Genomic DNA, 26,240 nt, shown 5'->3' on the forward strand with positions numbered 1-26,240 from the left:
AATTACCAAACTTATGATGAACTGACATGTTAATGCTTTAATGAGAAATACTATTTATTTCAACTATGATTCCAAGATGACCTGCGATTTTTTAAAAAAGATGGAATTGACTAAAAGGTATTTTCCATATATCAAAGCATAAAAATTCTGAAAATAACAGGAATACAGCTCCATAATGTTGCTTCTAAATAATTGGCTTTATAGCACCATTTTGATGCAGTAAGAAGCTCTATCTGCCACATTCACAAAAACTCTCCTAAGACGTAATGACCTCTGATTCAATTAGCTCCCACTGTTTAAGTGTGATACTCCCACCTCAGCCTCCTGAGTAGCTGGGACTACAGGTGCTCACCACCAAACCCCGCTAATAAATTTGTATTTCTGGTAGACATAGGGTTTTACTATGTTGGTCAGGCTGGTCTATAACTCCTGGTCTCAAGTGATCTGCCTGCCTTGGGCTCCCCAAGTGCTGGGATTACAGACATGAGCCACAGCACTGGCCCCAACTGGACCCTTAATCTCAGATATTCCCAGTCTGGAAACTGGACCATCATGCCAATGTCCTTGCTCAGTGCTTTTCAAGCATTAGCATGGACTAGAACAACTACCCAAATACTTGTATAAACAAGAGATTGTTGGGTCACACCCCAAGAGTTTCTGATTCAGTTTGTATGGGGAGCTCCTGGGGAATAAATTCCGAGTACCAGGTATCATCATGAAGAGATGCGGATGACGCTCAACAGGGATCACACTAAAAAAAATACCATCCTAGGTATGCCAAATAATAAAAAAATTGGTATTTCTGATTCTAGATAACAGCCCTATGAGGAGGTTAAACAATGAAGGGCAACGATAAATCACAGGAGGAAGAAATCAAGACAAGTTGAGGTAATACCGCAGGGGGAAGAAACAGTTAAGTGGGTCTCAAAGACATGAGAATATTTTGCTAGTCAGAAATGGAGAGGGATTCGTGTTTTCATTATTCAAAAGACAGGAAATGGTTAATTGCAAATTACCATTTAGAATTAAGAGTGGACAGCTGGAAGCCAAGATGGAGCAGATCACAGACCACAGGGGGCACAGCTAAGAGAATACTGGGTATACATGGGAAAGATGATACCACATGAGGTTGTGAGCAGAGAATTAACCAGGTGCCATAAGTTCACTAATTCCTTCAATGTTACTGTGTGCCTACTATGTGCCACTGTTCTAGAGACTCAGCATTCAAGACAGGACAAGAGACCAAAAATAAGCCTCTGCCATCATGGAGTTTATATTCCAATACAGGGAACCAAAAAAAAAAACAAACAAAAATTTGCATTTAACTTTCAGGGCTAAAGATAAAGAACGAAGTGTCATAGAGTGTCGCAGGGAGTCTTGAATGGGTTGCTATCTTGGATGACATAACCAAGTTTCACTGAGAGGGTGACCTGAAGCAAAGGAAGTGAGCTATGCAGATATTTGAGGGACATCTTTCCAGTAAAAGGAAACAACAAATACAGAGAATATGACTGGGCTGGGTTCAGGCCTCATACATTGGCAGTGGAAGAAAAGGGAGGACAGCAGGCATCCAGAATGGCCAGAAGAGACTATGCAAGGGAAAATGAGATGAGTTCAGAAGTCAGAATGAATAGACTGTGCAGGGCCTAGGAGGTCATTGTAAAGATTCTGGTTTTTACTTCAAATGTAATAGCAAGCTAGTAGAGGATTCTGAGTAAAGAGATGATATAATAGCTACTAAAATAACAGTAATAACAATACAATAATAACAATGTCTACCATATAGATACTATTAATTCATTTAATCCAAGTATTACTGCTCTTCCAATATTACATTTAACTGTGTTGCCCAACTTTAAATATATGGTAAGTGGCAGAGCTCATATTTGAACCGAGAAAGACTAGCTCCAGAGGCTGTGCTCTTAACTGCTATGCAATACTGCATCTCATAATCTGACTCAAGTTTAACAGGATTACCCTGGTTGCTATCACAGGAGAGGCCAAGGACAAAATTAGGAAATCTGTTGAAGAGTGTTCTGAACAGTGTTCTAGGTTAGAGACCATGGTGATACAGACAAGGAACGGTAGTAAAGGAGGTAAAAAGTCATCCATTTGAATATGTTTCTAAGGCAGACTAAACAACATTGATGGACAGATTAAACAGGGTTTGTGAAAAAGAGCAGTGAAGAAGGATTCCAAGTTATTTCATAAGACTAATCTTAAAAGATGAGTCTCCTGCATCAATAAAATTTTAAGAAAATGTTTAAAGTAGTGAAGGACTCCAAATTATCTCATAAATCTAACCTGAAAAGATGAGTCTGTTACATAAATAAAATTTTAAGAAATGTTTAAAGTATCTTCTGTGACTTTCTAAACAATAAGAATTCTAAATGCCACATTCCCTATCCTGAAGGAACACAAATCTCCACAATTTATCTTGATAAATGCTCACCCCGGTAGCGTTATAAACGCCAACTATCAAACAACCTAAATGTTGGATTAAGGGTTTTATTATGATGCAGGAAAAAGATAATAATGCAGCTCATCCTAAAGTGTAAAGCTTTTCTGCACATCCAATATTTTACTGAGATTTCCACTGGACTTAAGCAGAAATGAATATTCAGAGGATTTTCTCTCTTTTTCAAACCAGTTTGTAAAATAAAATCAAGCCAACAGTTACACATTCCTGTACAAATGCCATCACTTTAAGTCATTAGCAAGAAATTTATTACAAGGCTTAGAATATACACATTGAAACAGCACTAGGGAAGAAATATCAGCTGCTGGCAAAAAATACTGTTGAAGAATGTCACTGTGGAAAAGCTGGTCTTTCCCTGCCTTCCTCCCTTTCTCTTTCCTCACCTCGTATACAGTCAAATTCAACTAATTCCTAGCTACAACACATTAGAAATGAATGGTTCGCCACCTGGTTCTTCAAGACTGCTCCACAAAAACATAGCAAGGCATTAATTAGTCATAAGCAAGATGCATATTTAAGGTAGATGTTCATAAAATAGCTCTCTTTTGAACGCAATTTAAATTTTCTCAGCAGTATAAATCCATACAGGGTCAGGATACTCCAGTATGACCCAGTGCACTGGGTCAGGTTATGTCTGAAAGAGTCAATGTTTCATTTGGGGAATTTATGTAGCAGGAAATAAGAATCCCTTGTTAGAAAGCTGAGCCAATGCTATATGGGGTCAGTTCTTATGACAATTCATCAAAAGTCCAGCCTCTCAAGATGCCTCTACATTACAGAGACAAACACAGAGACATTCCCATTTCTGAAAGGATTCATGACATTCCTCATCAGAAAACTGCTCCCCAGTGAAGTCTGATTTCACTGTGACCTAGAAACGAGGGTAAGCATTCAGTGTTTTGTCAGCTTCAACGACCTCTCCCCAACAATCCTCACTCATTCTTAATTCCAGAATTTCTCAAAGTAGAAGGAACTCAGTAATTTCATAAACTAGTATATAATTAGAAGTATATACAGCTCAGAGAGTCTGAATTAAACTATACTATGTGTGCTTTTTCAGAAATACACAATACGCTTTAATAAAGAATAGGATCAGTTCCTGAAAATTCACAAACTACTCTCTGCATTTTTAGTCATAAAGCATTCCAGTCAATTAAACCATGGTGCCTTTCAACTTTCTCTAAACACTTTCTATTAATAATGTTAATAATGCAAATCATTCTGTCAAATGTGATAATTAAGCAAAGAATACCAAACAAATATAACCTCTTCTTGAGGACTCATGATCACTTACCATATTTTCCAATGATAGGGTACTTCCCCAGAACATCTAAATCTACAGAGCTGTTTATTCCTATAATAAGTGGCCCCAGACAGAATGTTTTCCACATGCTGCTTCTGATCTTTAATTTCCTGGTCTCCATTTTAATGTCTGAGTGTCCATGTACCTGCTCTGTCAAGAACACAACATGTTTCTTCATTTACTGCCCCCTAATAAGTTTTATTATGAGGTTTTATTAAGTTTTATTATGTACTCTCAGTACATAAACTAGATAAATAATAAATCAGATAATTGAATACACAGTATGAACAAATGAGTTATCTAATGGCTTTCCTACCTTTAATTATAAGTAACATAAATAGCTGGATGTTTAGATTAATTACAACCCCAAAAAAGGACAAAGTTAACTACATTACAATTTAAATTGCTGTATTCTATTAATGTGGACCGCTAATAAAATGATCACTACTGCATTAACTCTTCTGTGATTTATCTTGCAGTTTACTTAAACTGCATACATTCCCCAGACGCAGTTTACAAAATGGATCTAACACTAAGGAAGTTCTCGTTTTTATTGAAAGAAAAGTTAGAACAGGGACAGTTGGAAATTTCAGATTGAGATGGGGAAAGAAATCCCCAACCTCAGGAGAAGTTCATGTTCCTCAACTACAGATTTAACCCCTGACTCCACACCACATTTGAGCCCTGCAAATACTCCTCAAAGGGCTTTCATCTTTATTCTTTCAACAGATACTGACATTCACTGTTTATCAGGCACTGTGCTACATGTTGGAGACATAATGGTAAACGAAGTAAATGCTGGAATTGAAGAGAATGTAAACCTAATAGATCCCCAAATCCTAGTTGATACACAGTAGGCACTCAATAAATATTTTTGGAAGGAAGTCACTCAATAAACATTTTTGGAAAAATCAATCCCTGTCTTCATGGGTCTTACAATACAGTTGTGAGGGGAGACAGTGGCAAATAATTCCACAAACAATTTAAAATGGAAACTGCAGTAAAACTAAGAATAAGTTCAACAACACGAAGAGGATGAAAGGTTTTAACAGAGAAAGTTATTTTAAATTGGAAGTTTATGAAAAAAATTGTGAGGAATTCGCCCTAAAACTGAGGACAAATGAGTTCACCAGGTGAAGAAATGTGTGTAACAGGGGAATGGGATTCAACATTCTCCACTTCTGTTCCCAGAGAGTTAGAAAATTGGCAAAAACATCATTTACTGTATCTAACCATACATCTACTGTATGTAACCAAATGTTCCTGTCAGAAAACAATTGCCAAATTATAACTTTCAAAAAGATGAGAAAAGTATTTATCCCTTGAAAGTATCTCTAAATAAACTACAAGTAAAGCTATTATCTACTGATATTTAATGTCCTTTATTAAAAGGAACTAGTTTTTTTATTCAGATTTTTGTCATCAAGAAAAATAATGCCTAAATTAATACGAATGCAGTGTTTTCTTTTTTAATAGAAATTTATGTAATCCAACAAGTTTTAAGTTAGCAAAACAAATCAGTGCAAAATTCACCATCCAGCTGTATGAATCTACCCCTCCTGGTGCTTCTCTCTACTGTTTTTTCCATCTCTCTGCCTATTCATTCTCAGTCTGTCACTTTTTCTTCCTTTACCTATTTCCAAAAACTAAGGGTGGTACATAGAAAAGTTATCAGGGATCTTTTTCCAGCTACATGGTAGATGTACTTTCATGTAAAGGTTGGTCAATAAAAACACTACAAACCTGAAACCTTTCATATTACAAGATTAATTGCCCACTGACCTAAATGGAAAGTGGAGGCAGAGTAGGGTCTGTTCCAGGCACACAAATCTCCAGTTCTTGCCCTTAAACAAAGTTTAAGCACACAAATATCCCAGTGCTTGCCTTTAAACATAATTTAAGTACAATAAATAACAAACGATAAAAGCTACATTCAAAATAAAGCTTTGTAATATACTGCCTAAGATTATAAGAAAGGGGCATTGTCAGCACATTCCAATCTCTTGTCAAACCAAATACACTTGATGCCTTGGTACAAACCAAAGCTGACTCAGGGACTCTCTGCAGCAGCACTGATCTTACAGTCATGTAGCCAGATTTCCCCTGCCATTTGTTCCCATCTTCCATGCTTTGGTTATAACACAATTTCTGTAAACTGAAAAATCTGCTTCAAGCAGCTCTGCTATTTTTCAATGCTATCGGCTGACATTTTGCAGAATGCTTTTTCCCAAACTCACTGCTCAGTGCATCACAGCAGCTATTTTGGCCTACTTCCTAGAGTTAAACACTCCGACCGCCCTTGTAAAAATATTTTTAGGGTCCTGTTTTCCACCACTAGCATTCTGCTGAATAAACATTTAGATAACATTACAGACACAAAGAAGACTATAAGTTTTAATAGTAAGTATTAAAATAAGAGTAAAGCAGTCACCAGAGTAACTCGTGTTTACAATCTATGTAAACATGAGTGAGAATATAAAAAAAAAGCATGTAGAGTATATACTCAATTGGTGTTAAGACTTAAACAAATTAAAACTTCTAAGATGCAAAATTTTAAGAATAAAATTTGGAGTCATCCTTAACTCCTGTTTTTCTCTCACATTCCCCATCTAAGTTGACCACAAATTCTATCAGCATTACAGGATCCAGCCTCTCCTAACCATCTTTTCTGTGAGTAGTCTAAACCTAGGCACCATCCTCTTCTCCCTAGACTACTGAAATCATCTCTTAAAGAATTTCCCTGTATCTACCCTGGCCATTGTCAATCCCTTCTTTCTACTGGCCGGAATGATATAGCTGTAACTCTATCAATTCAGGGCCACAATGTATATAGTTTAGCAACTGTACTATATAATACAGCCACCCTTTAGAGAGGCTAAAGGGGAAAATGGGGCTGAAATCAGCCTGTACTACATTCACCAACCAAAAGTCCAGATAAAATAACCTATTCTAATTCACACACATATCTTGCGTTTCTCTCCAAATTTTTTTAAGGGTTTACCTCTTGTTCTCAATAAAATCCAAACTCCTTACCCTAGTCCACACTCCAAGTACCTAAGAGATCTGGTCTTGACTGTCAATCTGATCTCTTCCATCACTATCCCCTCCTTGTCCCTAATGCAGGCACACTGTTCTCCTGGCTGCTCTGCAGACACATCAAACACATCCTCAGCTAAGAGCGTTTATACTGTGGTCCCCGCTGCCTGTAATCCTCCTCTCTCAGAAAGCCTCCACCCTTCTATGCTCAAATGTAACCAAAGATAAAAAGCATCTCCTGAAAACAGTACTTATAATGGTATTCTTCAACCTAATCACTCTAATCTCATTTTATTTTTCTTTTTAAGATTTATACCTTCCCAATACATTTGTTTACCGTCCTTTCTAACTCCACTAGAATGTACACACCACTGATACGAATATGCAACTCACATAAGAAACAGAAGTGGCAAAAAATATTTTAGCAAGTAAATAAATCACTATAAATTTAAGAAATAAAAAAGGAGGATAAAGAGAATCAGACACTATTTTCCCCTAAAACCTTGAAGAAAGTATTTTGAAAAGTAATGCTTGCCAAGATTTCCATACCCTTTTGTACACTGCTCGTGGAAGTGAAAATCCATAAAACCTTCTGGAAATCAACTCCACAATATGTAACAAGAGACAGAAAGAGTACATATCTTTTTATTTAAATATTTTGTTTCATGAACTTTTCCTATAAAAATAGGTAAAAATGGAAACCAAAACTTATTTTCAATAATACCCTTACAATATTATTTTTGTTAGTGTCAAATGGCAAACAAGCTATATATCGAATAAGGTAATGGTTATAAAACTTATGGTATAATCCCGTGACAGATATAAAAATGTTACTTAAAAATCATGGCTTGAAGAATATTCAATGCCATGGGAAATGCTTAAAATATACTATTTTGTAAATAAGACAAATACAAAACTGTGGCTTTATTGTTTATCAATATGTATGTATATCTTGATTTTATAAAGAAAATACATGAAGATATACAAACAAAAAAATGAATACTATCACAGTGTTTTACATTGTTTACTAATTGATAGTGTGTTCATGGACAAATTTAAATTTATTCTTAACTATCTCTGTTTTCAGTTACAAGCATTTATTGTCATTGTAACCGAAAATACAACTCTTAAACGAAGTTATGCCATCTTCATTAGATCTACCATATCCTAGTTCTTACTGATTTCTACTGGTGCTTCAACATTTCTTATAGGAGCTCTGTCATTTCTTACTAGAGCTTTCAGAATAATTTAGATGACAAACGTCATTTGAAGGGCTAAACTGACTACATCCTAGGCATATCACCAAAACAAATCCAGATTCCCCAAATATTTTTGTCTTCATCAAAATAAAAGCAAATGTTTTTAGCTGTATCATTTTAAACACACACATACAAAACCAAAAACTAAAACTGCTATGGTGACATAATAAACCTAGATAGGCATGTATTAATCTAATCCAGCCATTCCCAATCTAGTTTTGTCTATGTGTTAATTTGAACACTAAGGTACATCTACCTACCACCTGAAATTATCACAATGAGCAAAACAAATGAAATTTTAAAATAAATAAATACCATGTGTAGTTGGGGTGTCCCAACTCCAAATAATGTGAGGAAGATCAACATTCTAATTTGAATGCAAGATACTCCTCTGTAGATTTGTTCAGCAGGAGTTTCAGCCATAAGCTTAACTATAGTTACTGTTACGAGCAAAGAAACTACAAAAGTAAAAAACAATTACATAAAAACCAAACTTTCAAATAAAAATTGTGAAACATAAATTTACAATTAGAAAGTACAGTTATGGTAGTCCACAAAGTTTTCTTTTGTACTTTTGTTATCATGAATTTTTAAAAGGCTGAGTCAAATTAAATCCTTCCTTCCTTAATGAGCCAGAATTTTATTACTGACATTATCAAAATCCAGAAGCTGTGAGTAAGCCCCACTTTTATCTCAGAAAAGTGACACTAGTCAGCTAAGAATTTACTGAAAGTTATAGGGTGCTGTATAAAATAAGAGCACTAGTAAATAAGAAATGAATGAATAAGTCAAACAAATATCATAAAATTGTAATTAGGATTAAGTTGTACCATGCCGTCTCTTCCATAAAAGTTACAATCCACTGGCCTCAAAACAATAAGGATGGTGAGGGGACATAAATTTCTATTACTTAGTTGCCTCTATTTCATAAGTTTCTTTTTTTCCCATGACTTTATTAGAAATTGGTCTTCTTAAAAGCTGACAAAGTATTCAACATGCTTAGAACTTTATAATAGAGCTCCACGTTAAAAAGCATGTATTTCATGTAATGCTAAGCCCTTACTTGGGTCCCTATTGTCAAAAACATCCATAAAAATTTAAAATAATTTAATGCTTTGCCAAGCTTCAGGAAGAACAATTACTGAAAAAGTCATGAGAAAATCAAATATTAAAGGTGCATTTCTCCAAGTTCTTTGGAGCTAAACATTTGGATGTAAATTATACCCCTCCTCTAAGATGTATTCCTGTGAGATTTGAAAAACAGATGGTCCTATCCCTATCACTTTTGGCCATTTCCATTGGTAAGCATGGTCAGAAGGATACGGTTTACCCTACACCAGTGTTCTAGGGTCAATCTCACACTTTGTGGGAACTGGGGAGGAGGGCGGGTGGACGGAGAGGGAGAGAAAGAGAGAGAGAGGCAGAGAGACAGACAGACATATGGACAGCAGCAAAGGCTGTGGCTGAATTCTGCATTGTTGGTATAGTCACTGCCTCATGGGCATAAGGAATCAACAGAGACAGCTTCTCCATCCCTGGGTTACATTTATGGAAGCCTATTTCTGAATTCAATACTTCCAATGGTGGGCTCCTGATTCCCCGCTGGGACAGAGGTAGTAGCCTCCTAGTTTGGTCAGCTATTTCTGCTATTCTAGAAGTCACTGCTGAAAGTTTTGCTAAAGCCCATTCTTCCAGGCTTTCCAGTAATTGTATAAGCTTGTAATTACTTTTGTTAAATCTGTTTTTGCTCAAGATATCTAAAATGGGTTCTTCGTTTGAATAGAACCCTGACCAACATAGGGTTCCTGCTTATCTTGTTAGTTGTGACTAGGGCAAGCCATGGGTTAATGGACTATCCCTCTGTAAGGCCTATAGGCAGAGAAGCTTCCGAGGTTGGGAGTTCTAAGGCACAGCAATTCAAGAGATACGATCTCTATCCTCTTGCAGGTTAAAATCCAACTAAGAATGTAAAGTTAGTTCATATGAAAAGACTGAGAATAACATACTAAATACTAATTTAAATCACAGATTATATATTTGCAGAGAATACTGTAGGAGTTCAACATTGAAGGAACAATAAAAATCTACAAAAAAATCACTAGAATATAAGACTTAATATATCTATGTTCAGGCCTTAAAAAATGACAGACAGTATTTTCACAGTCAAGGAACCTGGAAATATAATCCCCCCTCCTCCAAAAGATGTGTAAAAGCATGATCTCTTGACTGGATAGTGAGGAATCCAGTATGAACAGAGTGCAAATTGGGAAATGATAATAAATACATTTGGAAATAGAGAAGACACTAGAAGCGGGGCAGTGAAATTAGAAGTGTGCCATCAGACTGTAGCAGAGTTTCCCAACTTCAGCACTATTGACATTTGGGGCCAGATAATTCTTTCTTGGGGTGGGGCTGGGAGAGAGTGATGGGGTCATGCTGTGTAATGCAGGACACTTTAGCAGGGTCCCTGGACTCAACCGACAGGATGCAAGTAGCACCCACTGCTCAAAACAAAATGTCTCTAGACGTTACCAAATATTCCAGGGGGGACAAAACCACTGGACCATAGGCTGAAAGTCATAGCATGCGAAGAGTCACTGGACTTAAGAAAGATGAGACAAGAAAAATAATTTCAGAAACAATGATAATTATCTAATTCAGTGATGTATACAGAGAGGGGGCTGCAAACACATCAGTGAAGAGGCCAGGCACCTGCTATGGTGACTGGAGTGCACAAGCACCCCATCCAAGGAGAGGACTTCTCAGAGTCAGCCAGCTGTTGTTGCCATACGGGAAGGAAAACCCAGGGTTTCCAGGCCTTCTTTTCCTTTTTTCTCCTCCAAAACAAGAAAGATTCTGATTTTTAAGTAAAATTTCCTGAAACATAGAACTTAATTTGAGGCTTTTGAAAAACAATATTTAGGCTAGATTTGACCCTGAAGCTACCAGAGTCCTGCAGTGTAGACTAAGGTAAGTGACAGCTTGGAAGGTGTTTAGGAAGATAAATTTATGGATCCGGATCAAACAAACCAACTATAAAAAGACATACTTGAGAAAAAGAGGCAAAGGTGAATTTGGATAGGTATTAAATAACATTAAGGAATCACTGTTGAATGCAATAACAATATTAAGATCATGTTAAAAATAATCTTTACCCGTTTCAAATATCTAATAGATATCTAATTATTTATACAGGCAGGCAGGCAGGCAGGCACGCACACACACACACACACACACACACACACACTTTTCACTACAGATGAAACAAACAAAAAAAGACAGAGACAAAATAATGAGCAAAGCACTATACCTAAATACGAAGAATAAATCAGAGGAATGAGAAAAAAATGACTTCAAAGTTTTGAAGTTCAAAGTTAGAGGTCTCTAGTCTCCTTGTATAGTGAGCGCCCTCTGGCTATATCAAGAAAGCAAACACTCCTCTGTACTGTTTCTGCATTTACCCTAGTATTTTAAAAACATCATCCTCAAATTCTTTGTAATACACTTAATCATAATAAAAGAGGAAATAACACAACTCTCCAATAATTCAAAGCACAACAGACTTGTACCTCAATTTATCAGAAATACCAAGTGATATAAAACACATCCATGGTTGCATAATATTACAACATCTATATTTCTGAATCTCTGCTGATTACTGAAGTAACCAGCTGACTTCCTGAAACCAAATAAAAAACAAATTCAGCACTATACACTGTCTCAGTGTATATGTTGCAAGAGGGTCCATGCACACTGGACCATAGGCTGAAAGTCATAGCATGCAAAGAATGGCTGGGATATTCCATTTGTTACGGTTAATATGAAATGCTACAACCACAATAAGCATAATCCACAGAAATAAATCCCAAGGATGAAACTACCCAAACCAAATTTCTGTTCAGGGAAGAATTCAGTGTCACATTTTACATAAGCATAATTTCCCTTGCCAGCACTCAGCAGTGGCTTCTAGTTCAGATTTTTCTGAATTAATTGTGAACTCATTCAAGTCACATATTTTGTAATTTTGTACCACACTTAAAAGCAACTTCCCTTCCTCTATTTCACTGACCCTCTCACTCCCATCACCTCTTCAAACTGAATAGGACTCTTTTTCGAAAGAAGTTTCTACAAACCAAATATGCTTTTAAACTAATTTAAGTGTGGGATATTCTGAGAATTATTAAGAAAAATTCATGTCTTGCATCAATAAAGAATTTAAATCTGGTTATAGAAAATCAGATATAATTATCAATTATAGTTATTTTTTAAGTTTGTGTCTATGGTTCAAAAGTAGACTTCTTAGTTTATCTTTTATCTCAACATGAAAAAAAAATCTCACTTATCCACTCTGCCATAACCCATGGAGCTGACAGTACTGGTGTAACACAGCCATTCAGTGAGAAGGAGCCCGGTTTTTTAGGATATTTACTTGCTGTTTAAAATGTAATACTTCATTTTTTAAAAAAATATGTTTATGCTTGAGGAACATAAAATATCAAGTGATATTAATAAGATAAAAGTTTATCATTTTAATAAACCAAATTTTTCTTCAACCTAATATACTGTACAAAAGACTCAGCTACTGGTATTTATTTGCTTATTCAATAAATAACAGTTAATTTCCAAAACCAACACCCAGGCTAAATACTTCTGTTAATATTTGCTAATCTTACACGTAAAAAACAACTGTATAAGTAACTATATATGTTTTTAAAATTAAGTCACACTCTTTCCCTTCCAGTTGTTCTGCTTGAACTGCTTCCTTCAATTTACATAAAATCCACCTGGAAACAGTAGGAAAAATAGCCAGAAAAAAAAGCAGTGCACACCACCATCTTCTCCAAGGATTAAGTCTCAGAGTGTACCACTCACTAGATATGCTCCATTCTAAAGATGCAAACACATGTAGAACAAATGCTGCTGTGACAATGACCTAGCAAGATATCAAAGAAGTCCAGATTAAAATGTATTCATACTTTCTATTCCTTTCTTAAGGCTCAACAATAACCTCCATGGCTAGTAAACACAAATGTGTACATACACATATACACATATACGTATGCACATAAATACTTTGCTCCCACAAACTGATTTCGTTTTTATTTGCCATGTTTTCAGTTCACTAAATGCAATCATATTTTAAAGATAATTAATGAATCCAAAAGTTGAATCTAGGTATTCTGATGACTATTTATGTAACAAGTTAGAAAAGGGTCCCCAATTTTTAAGTAGCACATACCATAAAACTTCGTTTTAACTTCTACGTAGCCATTAAAAAAAAAATGAGATCATGTTTTTTGCGAGAACATGGATGGAGCTGGAGGCTATTATCCTTAGCAAACTAACACAGGAACAGAAATCCAAATACCGAATATTCTCACTTATATGTGGAAGCTAAATGATGAGAACTCATAAACACAAAGAAAGGAACAACAGATACTGGGCTCAACTTAAGGGTGACAGTGAGAGGAGACAGAGGAGCAAAGAAGATAACTACTGAGTACTGGGCTTAATACCTGGGTGATGAAATAGTCTGTACAACAAACTCCCATTACATGAGTTCACCTGTGTAACAAACCGTCACATGTACCCCTGAACCCTAAATAAAAGTTAAAAAAAAAAGTTACCAGCATAATTGTTATTAATTTATTTGACTTAAAGGTCAGGACTGAAACAGATGAATATAAGTTTATTTTTTTAACAGCATACAATATTTAAATGTACTGAAGAGGATACGGTTCCTCTCTGAAAACAGAAAATAGCTTCATAAAAACACCAGACTTGTTTTCTCTTCTCATATAAAAACACTTGGAACCTTTTTAAATGTAAATTTAATTCTAGTTATTCTTGGCCTACTGTCCTGCATCTAAATCAAAAGCTAATTAAGAGAAAAAAGCAACACCAAGTCCTGGCCAAGTCCAGATCTTGATACAACAACCAGTAGAAAAAGTAGAATTTAAAACACAAAACAACCTTATATCTATGCCTTCTTTGGCCTAACAAATAATAGTAAGTTTTCTTGAGACCTCTTTTCTGATTCCTGCAGCACTCTGTCTCTACCACCATTCTGACACTTAAAAGTCAAGAGACATTGGCCAAGCACGGTGGCTCACGCCTGTAATCCCAGCACTTCAAGAGGCTGAGGTGGGCGGATCACCTGAGGTTGGGAGTTCAAGACCAGCCTGACAAAAATAGAGAAACCCGGTCTCTTCTAAAAATACAAAATTAGCAGGGCATAGTAGCGCATGCCTGTAATCCCAGCAACTGAGGAGGCTGAGGCAGAAGAATCGCTTGAACCCGAGAGGCGGAGGTTGCAGTGAGCCAAGATCGCGCCATTGCACTCCAGCCTGGACAAGAAGAACGAAACTCCGTTTCAAAAAAAAAAAAGTCAAGAGACATCAAATCACAGCACTGTAAGGATCACAAATTACAAGTAAAATCTGACGAGGCTCAAGAATCGGCTCAAGGTTGGTGAGTGGAAGGATGAGAACTTAGATGTAGGTTTCCTGATGCCAGATGTGTGTGTTCTTCCCTGCAGCCCAGGTTGCTTACCCGTAAGTGCTTCTCAGATTTGCTCCGTTTTATACATACATTATTTTCCCTGTAAGAATCTTAGAATTTCAATACAGAACAGGAACTGAGCCTTGTGTGGTTTTTGTTTGTTCATTCTGGTTTGTTTTTTCTGTTTTTCCTTCACACAAAGCAACAGAACACAGACTAGCCAGTCAATAAATACTCCAATTATTTTTTAAAATATTAATTACCAAAATTTCACAGTATTACACAATGGGAATTATTGTTGGCATACATTTGCATCTAAAAATTTACAATGCTGTTAGTTACCTCTAAAAAAGTTGTATTATGAGGGAATTTGTAAAGCTTAGCTAAATAAACTAATGTAGATTTACTAAATTATATAGGTTTATAAAAGCATACACAAACTGCTACTAAAATCAAGAATTAAAGCAATACAAAAATAGTCATGGGCAACAGCATAAAAATTTTCTACCTATTGGCCAGGTGCAGTGGCTCATGCCTGTAATCCCAGCACTTTGGGAGGCTGAGGCAGGTGGATCATCTGAGGTCAGGAGTTTAAGACCAGCCTGACCAATATGGTGAAACCCCCGTTTCTACTAAATATACAAAAATTACCTGGCCGTGGTGGCACGCACCTGTAATGCCAGCTACTCAGGAGGCTGAGGCAGGAGCATCGCTTGAACCCGGGAGGCAGAGGTTGCAGTGAGCCGAGATTGCACCACTCCACTCCAGTCTGGACGACAGAGCAAGACTCCGTCTCAAAAAAAAAAAATTCTATCTAGTGAAGAAAATTAAGTGTCCAATGGCTACAGTTATGCTAATATGTAATGTAATATGTCCCTAAGAAATGACAAATATACCTAGACCATCTATTACCACTTGTCTACCCATGGATCTCATGGACTCCAATCATGGAGAAGAGTCATCTGTGTAAAAGAAAGTGGTAGGAAGAAGTGAGGAATGAGAGTGAAGAGGGGAGAAAGAAACGCTGGACAAGGACACAGAATTCATGAACCCTCAAAATGTGCTGGGTGTGCAGGTATCCAGGTTGCTTACCCATAAGTGCTTCTTTGATTTGCTCAGTTTTATATATACATTATTTTCCCTGCAAGAATCTTAGAATTTCAATACAGAACTATACCAAAGTCAGAGAAGAGTAAGAACTCTGAATCTCTGCTTTGTAAGTCTGTTCATTTCTTTGCTTCGGTGATTTTCCAGTGTGAGGTTTTGTTTTGTTTTGCCCTTGGTTACTTAGTAAAGTCACTGTTTAAAAAATTCCAACCTTGTCTAAACTAAACTAAGAAGAAAAGGAGGATTGTCCTTCTCTAGACGTGGCCGGCAGGAATTCCAGAGGCCCTGGACCAGCAGGGCATTCTGGTCACCACTGTGGTGCCAGCTGGAGGCCAGGAAAGAACCAGCATAGCCAGAGCAGGAGAAGAGGCCTCTGAAGACAAGGTGCCTCAGAGCTGGCTTGGACAAGACCGGAAAATCCCATCAAAGAACCCATCCGCCCTCTTCATAACAACAGCGCTCTAAGACTTCCCCAGGTGATCACATTATGGAGATCATTTTAGTCTACCAGCAAACTGTTAGCTGGTTCCTTTTTTCAAAAAGAAATAATTTAAATTCTGTATTTGCAGAATTTTTAAAGATGAGATAGCTGTTGGTGTTTAGTACATTGCTAGAAACAGGAAGGAAAGATTTAAATGTTTAAAGAACCTGTTAGAGAATGCATTTTAAAAGACCTAAATGTTACTGGCCCCCTTCTTAGCCCTGTGTGCAGCATCTGTTAAGTATTTCGCACCTGAAAGCCCACAAAAGTTGTGGCTTCAAACCATTTAAAACAGAATAGTCAATGACAGAGCAGCCTTGCCTATGAGACACTGTGTGCTGGGGCTCTGGAATAAAGTATAGCTTCTGGAGCTTTTCTTCTCCCAGGCCAGATCGATGCCCTAGCATCACAAAGCCAAGGTTGCCAAAATCCACATATCTATTTCGCTTGTTGCTGTGCCTGTGGGAGGGTCAAGCTGTGGAGCATGATGCATATTCAGTATCTCCTTACTGCACTTGAGTGTCCGAGACTGACCAGGAGTACTGTCAAGAACAATAAAAATTATGTGTACTTGAAAATTCCTTTGTTCCATAAAGAATTTTTACCTGTCCACAGCACAAAAAAAAAAAAAAAGATAAGAAAAACAGCATTTAAATCAGAGGAAAGTCCTATCTCTCACCTACCGTTTGGAAGGAACCCTAAAATAGGTTAGCAGTAACTAGAAAGCAAATGAGAAAGTTCTTTGTAAAAATTTGAGAATATAACCCCAAATTAAATGAGCAGATGATTAGTTAATGCACCAGGATGTCTTATGCACACAAGATAATAAAAGCAATATTAAAATCAATAAACTATCAGTGTAACAAATGATATTTAATTTCAACTCTGGCCCATTTTTGAAAATTCACCAATGTTTATATGAAACACTTTTCCTGACCACTTTCCTGCCTCAAGTAGCCCCTCATTTTAGCCATATGTTCACCAAGACTTTTATTTGTATTAAAAGTCTATTGAGTATATTTACAGTAATAATCATGTTCTTTATTGTATTCAAACTTGAAATACGGTTTTTTCTTTAAACTTCTGGTGTAGATTTTTATTATAAATACAGTAGTTCTTCAACCAAAAAAGGAAAGGACACTCCAATGTAGTATACCTTGTCACTTCTGTATTGATAATGCCTGGGGAGTATCCCCATCACTCATGAACTTGCACAGAAACTGATACTCCCTTGTGAGAAGACTAATAATAAAAAAGAACAGCAAAAAAAAAAAAAAGTTAGTGTTAATTGCTCTTGAAATGAAGAGCAAAGGTTATCCAGTTGCTATTTATAGATTTTTTCCTGGTTAAAATTTAATTACAAACCTATACAAACTAAACTTTAAACCTAATTTCTTATAGCGGAAAAGAAATTGTAAACATGAAGCATATTTCCACACTAACAAATTAAGCATTTTCTCACTTAATCACATCTCCTTTAAGAAATAAATTCAAGAAAGGGGGAGTATATCCATATTTTAATAGAAATTTTAAAATGATTTTTATTTTCCTAAATCTGCCACAATGTGCTACTAAAACAATCAAGGCCTGAAAAAAATGCATGAGTCAATCAGTAACTAAGTATGTAAATGCATAAACCTGATTGTATTGTTTTGAAGAAAACCAAATTAAAATTAACAAAAGTACACTTCCCTCTTTTAATACACAAAAGAAAATCTGTAATGAAAATCTTCCTTTTGTGTATAAAAACGATGTATCTTTGCTCTTTGAATTGCTTGTAAAGTTACTCTGAAAACAAAAACTTATTTGAAGATACTACATTTTTAAATTATAAACTATTTTTTGAAGAGGTATCTTTGTGACACAGTCGGGCAGTAATCAATTCTGTACTGCTGCACCATCTTTAGTAGTGTAATTACCAAATATGGGTTGCAACATGTAGGCTTTAAGGTGGTAAGCAGAATAAAGATAACAACAACAGAGTTGCAGTCCCAGCTACTTGGGAGGCTGAGGTGATAAGCAGGATCATCTGAGCCCAGCAGTTTCAGGCTGTAGTGAGCTATGATAGCGTCACTGCATTCTAGCCTGACCTACAGAGTGAGACCCTGTCTATAAATAAATTAATTAATTAATTAATTAAATAACAGTCTCTATAATTCTACTATTCTAGATAACTATTTTTAACTGCAATCTCAATAGCTTTGAAAATTAGTTTCATTGGCCAGGCGCGGTGGCTCACACCTGCAATCCCAGCAGTTTGGGAAGCCGAGGGGGTTGGATCACGAGGTCAGGAGTTCAAGACCAGCCTAGCCAAGATGGTGAAACCCCATCTCTACTAAAAAAAAAATACAAAAATTAGCTGGGCATGGTGGCGGGCACCTGTAATCCCAGCTTCTCAGGAGGCTGAGGCAGACAATTGCTTGAACCCGGGAGGCAGAGGTTGCAGTGAGCCGAGATCACGCCACTGCACTCCAGCCTGGGCGACAGAACGAGACTCTGTCTCAAAAAAAAAAAAAAAAAAGAAAAAAGAAAGAAAATTAGTTCTGTTCAGTTCAGTTTGGGGAGGCAAGCATTCTACAACAAATGCAAATGAGTAAGATGTAAATTAAAAAGAATATGTCATTTTAAAAGCCACCAAATTCTCAGTTTAGCCTAATTTATAGCAATGATTAAAGAAAAATAAAAATACTCATTGATAAACGTGCTAATTATTTCCTCCCAGGAGCTCAGCCACAAATTCATAACCAGGTTTCTAGAACAAATTTCTAGAATATACTCAAGCTCTGAAGAAGAAATATGCATCTCCTTTCCAACTAGCCATCAGTGTTTTTAATTCATTTTTGATCATGAGAACACTACTTACACCAAAGAACATGTCTTGATAGCTTCAAGTGCTGTGTTTAAAAAGATGTAACAGAGAAACTCTATGTTTGAACGCAAAACACCACAGGAATCACCGGCAAATTCTAAAATGAAAAACAGGTCTCTGAAATGCCCAGAGCCAGCTGCTACTGTCCAGAAGCCAGCTCCTTCCCACAGAGCAGCAGATCGGCATGAGCCACAACTTAAGTGGGAATGTCATCTCCTAAGGCAAGGTTCGGCAAAGTTTTTCTGTACAGGACCAGCTAGTCAATATCTCAGACTTTGCAGGCCTCATAGTCTCTGTAACTACTACTCAGCTCTGCCTTGTAGCACCAAAGCAGCCAGACAATAAGTAAACAAATGAATGTGGCTGAGAGCCAATAAAACTTTAATTTCATATAATTTTCATGTTTCATAATATATTATTCTCCTTTTGATATTTTTCAACCATTTAAAAATGTAAACATCTCTGTTAGTTCACAGACCACACAAACACAGGTAGCTGTTTGGGGTCTGCTAGATTTGGCCTATGGGCCATAATTTACCACTCTGGCCTAGGGCCCAGTTTTCCTTCAGCCTGTGCCTACTCCTTTCTCCTCCTTTTACATAACCTGCAAATTATGCCTTTTCCCTTTTAGCAAAGCTTTCCTTTTGTTTCTCTAAGTCACTGATGGCCAGTTTCTGTTTCTTTCTCATAGGTCCCAAAAGTCCAAGAGAACAATTATGAGGTCAGGAAAGACAAGCACAGCCTGAAGAAGGGGCACAGGCCCCTCTTCTACTGCTTTCCACCTATGTGAGCTTGTGCAAGGTATGTAACCATCCCAAATCTCCATTTCACCACCAATAAAAAAAATTATGGCACCCAACTACCTGAAAGTAATAGTGAAGGTGCCACTTTGTATTGAGTAAAGCAGGTAAAGCGGGAAATACAACCCGTGGAGAAGGGTTGCCAAACATGGTTCAGAAACAAGGCAGCAGATATTTCACTTCTAAGCTGTTAAATCATGTAGCATATGGGTTCCCAAGCAGAGAAAGGAAGCTCAGTGAATTCAGATAAAGTTCTGGGGGAAGAAGAAACTAGCAACCTCATTGACTGCACGCTACTTTTCATAATTCTCAGAACAGGCCAGAAACTCAGTAAGCAAAACCTGAGAATGTCTGTGGCAAAACAACAGTGTAGATACTGAAGAGCATAAAAATGAATAAAACTCAGCCCTTCACTTTGAAGAGTTTACAATTTATTAAACATAAGGACCTATAGTACAAAGTAAATATGATTTGTATAAACCAGCTACATTAAGAAGTTAAAAATAAAAAGAACCAAACAAAAATAGCCAGGAGAAGAATTTCCTAGGAGCTAGACTTAAACAATAAACAGGATTTCAAAAAACTAAAAAGGAAGGAACAGAAATTTGAGAGTGCTATTCATGCACATATCTAGGATTACAGGACATGCGGATTCTCAATTCCAGTAGATATTATTAAATTGTTCTCCAAAGACACTGTGCTTCCATCAACGGTCAATTCCCATCCTGACATTTGGTACAATCAGAGTTTATTTTAAGATGCTTTGTCCCATGTGTTGGATAGAAAAGGGTAGCTCAATTTAATTTTCATTTCTTGTCTTCACATTCTCTATAGTAGTTTTATATGTCTGTTGTCATGTGAAATAAAAGGCACAGTCTGTTTATGGATGATATGTCATTCTGTGTGGCTGAAGCACAGAATACAGAAAGTACAGAGGACAAGACCCTCTCTCTTCCAGAGGTTTCTCCAGGCCCTTGCTCTTTTCCTCTCCACCCCATAAATTGCTGGTTTGCATCAGTAGATAGGGACAAACCTTTCCTTTTTTCCTTGAATGTACCACAGTAAATTAGAGAGTTTATAAATGAATGAATGTGGTACAAAAATACTGGTCTTGACAGAAACATTTGAAACCATTTCCTTTGTTTTTGCCCAAAACTTGGTTTCTGCCCAGTTTGGATCATAGAATAGTAAGGTGCCTCAGAAAACACACACAAATTTTATCCAGGTCTGGAGACATGACGGCAAAGACTTGGCAGGAATACATCCACCTTCTCCTTATCCCATCTAGAAGGCAGAAAGGGCAGGAAAGATAAATCAGGGTATGAACCTGATTTACTGGCACTGATTAAGAAGGTTCTGCCTCTGAAAGCTCCCATAAGGATATAATTTTCAGGTAACAATTCCTATACGTTATTTTCAGAGAAAATGATTATTTTAGCCAAAATCTTATTTAGTCTTTCCATGCTAAGAATAAAGTGGCAACCAAAAGGAATCAATACAGCACACAGAACTCTCAAAAATTTAACAAAAATCTATGTTCTCAACTCTGGTCAACAAAGCACCAGAGCTAGGAAAAACTACACTCCAAAAATTGATGAATGTGTATCACATTCCCAACTACAGTGGGTAAACTGAAAATCACTATAAATATTTGTTTTCAAAAATAATTTGCTGTTATCATTCCAGTAACACTATAATGCCATATTGCCTCAAATACAAATAGATTAGTCTAATCCAGGGATTCTTAACCCTGGGCAATTTTGTCCCTCTGGGGACATTAGGCCTTTTTTGTTTTTTTGGTGCTCAGATTAGAAAGGTTATACTACTGGCATCTAGTGCACAGAGGTTAAGGATACTGCTAAACATCAATGCACAGGATAGTCCCTCAAAGCAAAGAAGTGTCTGGCTCAAAATGTCAATAGGGCCAAGAAATTGTGATTTAAACCATTTCTTCTTGGTTAGCTGGGACATGTTGACAAATATACAGGGTTAGAGATGATAAGCACTCTTCTTAAAGAACTATTAAGCTAGACAATTTAGGGTCCTATAGAAGATCTTGATATTTATGTCAACGAATAAGCTTCTATTTAGTAATTTTCAGTTGAAACTTGTAAAGAATAAAATAGACCACAGTCCATGATTCTGCCCACTTTATCAAGCAGTTTACCTCTACATTTATTAGTTTATCACATAACCTATGAGAACACCTACCTACACCGAAATTTGTAATCAAACTGACTACTGCTGGCTTCACCTATCACAAATTAGTATTTTCCCACATTTCGACCCTAACCGAATTCTCCATGCCTGCTTACCAAGTGACCAGTCCTCAGATTTAAACAGTGGGTTTCATGTGGTCGTTTCCTGAGGAAACTTTCATACCTAAAATTCTCTTTCTCTGATATCACAATCCATTAAAAGTTTACTGTCCAGTTCCATGAAATTTAAAATCCAGAGTGAGAAGGGAATTTGATTTTGACTATAAATATAAAGGCAGATACAAAGGGATGTCCTCTATTAAAAAGTTAGGGGTGTTGGCAATGAAGTGGAATAAAATATACAAAGGCCAAAGAGGCCTCTCTAAATATTACAAAGTCCTTAGAGGTTATTTTATTTCCCAGTTAAAGTCTCCTTGGGTGTTTCAACAAAGAAAGACATTTTTCTGGGGAAGGCTTTTTGTTCTGTTTTTCCTTTTTAAATTTCTCTACTTCCAAATTTGCTGAAAGTATTTACTTTCTACTTTCCAGATATTATGTTAGAAGAAATATTTTTAAATTATGCAAAAGTTTAGTTCAAATTTAGAGGAATCACACGGGTTCAGAAATCCATTTTTAAATGGTCACATATACCTAACAGAAAGAAAAGCATCCTGTAACTGATAGAAATCCATCTGAATGCTGAAGTTTCTCAAGCTAACAAAGCAAGCACTGTTTTGTAGAAAGATAGGCAGTTCAGCCTGCTGACGCTTTCTGAAACACTTAAAGATGAAGACAAAACTATCGCTACATGGATTAGCTGGACTGCAAACCAAATGTCACTTTCTGAATGTAACTCTGAAATAGAAATTTCTGTCCTTAGGCTTAAGAAAAGTTCAAGTAGAAAAGCACTCTATTATAAACTTGGGGGAAAAAATGGTGCCAAGATGACTTAACAAAAAACAAAACAAAACAAAAAGGACATTAGAAGGTCATTTAAATGCAAGATCTAATTTCAGAGAGTTGAGCACAAAGAGCACAAATGTGGAAAACTCCAAGGATTTTTCATGTGCCACAAAAGGCAGCAAAGCATGTTTAGACAGACGTGGTGAAACTCTCTTTAATCTGGCTAAATATAAAACGTTTTGTTTTACACAGCTTCTGAAAACGAGAGACAGCACCGGGCTCAAGAAAAGGGTAGGTAAGGGGAGCAGCTGTGTGTCCACAGCTTCCCCTTCAGATCCCAAAGGAAGAAAGCTGCCGCCTGGAGGTACTGGGTAGCCAGGCAGCCTTACTGAAAACAACTAAGGTTTTCGAGCGAGCGTTGTTTTTGGCAAGAGGGAGGTGTTACCGGCTGCTTCCTGGGGTGCTGGAAGGAATGTGTCACCATCAATTAGAAAGTACACTAAGCCCCGTGTTTAGGTCACAGAAGGAGTACTGCCTCGTCCATCAAGGATAAATCCATGCCAACTCTCGGAAAGGAGGGGAAAGGAGAGCTGCAGGAAAGGTGTTGGTGCCCATGACCTGCAAGTCCAAAAGGAAACTCCAACTTGTTCTGCAGGGAAATTCGGGCACGCTGAGTTCACCGAGAACTCCAAGGAGTCAACGAGGGCGGGTGCCCCTACACTTCCCCAGGGACCAGCGCCGCCCGACCGCAATTCTGGGGAAGACCCCGGCGGTCCTGGAGAGGAGGGACAGGCCCCCACTACTCACCTGGCCAGCCCCGCGGAAGGGCTGGTGGATGAATGAACTGCCCCCCCGCCGGCCGAGCCTCGCGGGACAGCGGCGGACCGCGGGGTGCTCACCTGTGGGGATGCTCGAGGGCTTCTCCGAGTCCGCACCCAGACAGGGATTCCAGGGGTGGAGGACGAGCGCCAGGAGCAGCAGCTGAGGCTTCACCGTGCATCCCCCCATATTCGGCCCTCGAGGGCCGCGCGGGCTCAGGCGCCCACGGCCCCGCAGCGCCGCGCTTCTCGCGAGAACGCAGAGACCCGGGTCCGCCCTGAGCCGCCGATTGCGGGCGGGAGCCGGCGGGCAAGGCGCGCGGCCGGCAGCCGGAGCGGCGCGTAACGCAGCTGAGTGAGGTCGTCGGTGGAGGCACGGAGCAGCAGGCGCCCGGGGCGCTGCGGAGGCCTTATAGGCTCCCCGAGGGGAGGCGACGGGGCGGGCCGCGCCCTGGCTATTGGCCGCCGGCTGACCCGCCGCCGCTGCGCGCCCGGTGCGGTCGCCTCAGCTCGCCCTCCTGGGCCCCACGTCTGGACTGTTTGCTCAGCGCGGACGCTATTTAAGGAGCTGCCTGCGGCTACGTGTGGAGGCTCACGCAGCGCTTCTGGCTGGAACGGGGAAGCCTGCACTTAGCTTTGGGAGTGGGTTTGGGAGAGGGAGGAGGAGCCGCCGGGAGTCTGGCGGGAGGGCGGTGTTCCCGTCTGGGTTCCTCTCTGCTGTCCCAGCCCCGGTAGCTTCCACAGCAGCCTCGAAGGGTGAGAATTTGCTCTTCTATGGACTTGGATACTCCACCCAGTCTGAAGTGACTGCAAATCTGCGGCAATCTTGGCTGACTGGGACCTCGCCAGACTCTTAAGCCATGGAAATGGATCGCCCCTCATTAATTCAGGGGCAGGTTCATCACCCTGTAAAAGGAAGGCCGTGATTTTATTTTACTCCGTAAACCGAAAGTTTTATTGTCCAGTGAACATTTCTTGCTCCGCCGCTTGTGCCAAGAGAGCCTTAGACTCTTTCCAGTAATGAGGCTTGTAAATCCTGCGGAATCGGAGCCCAACGTGTGTAATGCCGGGGCTGTGCTTACAAGATCGTGCTCCAGTCCGCATGGAAAATTACTCCCAAAGACGTGGTCGGAGAGGTCGAGATCTCTGAGCCTTGGCCCCCACTGCTTCCACTTTTGACTGATGTCTAAGAAAATTCCCTTTTTTCTGTTCTCACATTTTAACTAGCCAAGGGTTTAACTTGTTGGAATGAGTGGGAGCAAAAGCACAATTAAGAAAAAAGCTTGACAGTTTTGCCTCATACATTTAATGACATAAGCTATTTTATAGGAGAAAGAGAACCAAACTGCTACCATTCTGGAATCTCCTGCCTAAATTTTCGTGAAATTAGAAAAAAACAGAATCGAGACAACACCCGTTATAACTCTGGGCCTTTGAAATTAAGACAGAAAATTATGGAAAAATGTGTTCCATTATGATCACGTTTTGTCTAAAATTAACATATCAAGATAACATGAACTTAATGCTTTCATCTTGATAGCATTAAAAACAGGTGGAAAACCCTGCAAAGAAATCTTGCCTGGGATGTGACATTTTAGAAAGAATCATTTCCTGTGCCCAGAACTAAGCCAGTTATTACTCTGTTTTGAAGGTTTGGTCTCAGTTTTTTAAAAGAAGAGGAAAACTGGAGAAAGTTCTGAGAAGAGTAACAAATAATTAAAGAAGTGGAAACTATGACCTGTGAGAAGAATGAAATAAGGTTTATTTAGTCTGAAGGGGAAAAAAAAAGCTAAAAGATGGATTCCTTAATAACAGCCTTTCATGTGTGGCAAGTACAGCTTCATAAAACTAGGCACAAAGCAAACAGCATCAGTCCTCTGAGTCCAAGGACTCTGCTAGGAATGGCTGGTGTTTTGGCCAGATCTGTCTCCAGAAAGCCAAACCTGCAATTGCCAAACTCCTTGAACTTGACTTCTTGCTTCCTTGGTTCTCCAGTATCTTTAAGAACTTGGAGAGCTACAACCTGGCTTCCTGCCCTCCCAAACCCCCGTTCCCCTCATGAATGCTTACCGGCTTCTCTGCATCACAGGTGTGTGTGTGTGTTTAAACTCCAAAAGTCCACTAATAATTTCAGGTTATTTTGACATTCTTCCTTCTCTGTTAAGAGTCACAACATCTGTGCTGTGAGACTCGTATAAAGCAAGTGTTGGGATTTTCAAATACCTAGACATTTCTAACAGTCTGAAAGAGCCCCAATTCTCAAACCAAATCCTTCCTGCTTTCTTACATTTCCAGCCATCTGCTGAACATTTCTACTTGGATGTTCCATTGGCAAAAACTCGATATGTCTTTTTTTTTTTTTTTTGAGACAGTCTCGCTCTTTTGCCTAGGCTAGAGTGCGGTGGTGCGATATCCCCTCACTGCAAGCTCCCTCCGCCTCCCGGGTTCACACCATTCTCCTGCCTCAGCCTCCTGAGTAGCTGGGA

At 38.4% G+C, this 26,240-nt stretch overlaps 1 protein-coding gene across 3 annotated transcripts in view; it reads right to left on the reverse strand.

The window, feature by feature from the left end:
* Positions 1-24,139, reverse strand: part of PLOD2 (procollagen-lysine,2-oxoglutarate 5-dioxygenase 2) — a 91,745-nt gene extending 67,606 nt beyond the window's left edge. For all 3 annotated transcript variants that reach the window (NM_000935.3, NM_182943.3, XM_047448320.1), the window contains exon 1: positions 23,836-24,139. In NM_000935.3, the coding sequence (NP_000926.2) occupies positions 23,836-23,944 (109 nt within the window). In that variant the 5' untranslated portion in view covers positions 23,945-24,139. The remainder of the gene's footprint in view (positions 1-23,835) is intronic.

The sequence above is a fragment of the Homo sapiens genome, chromosome 3 (genome assembly GCF_000001405.40).
Source record: "Homo sapiens chromosome 3, GRCh38.p14 Primary Assembly".
In the NCBI taxonomy this organism is placed as follows: Eukaryota; Metazoa; Chordata; class Mammalia; order Primates; family Hominidae; genus Homo; species Homo sapiens.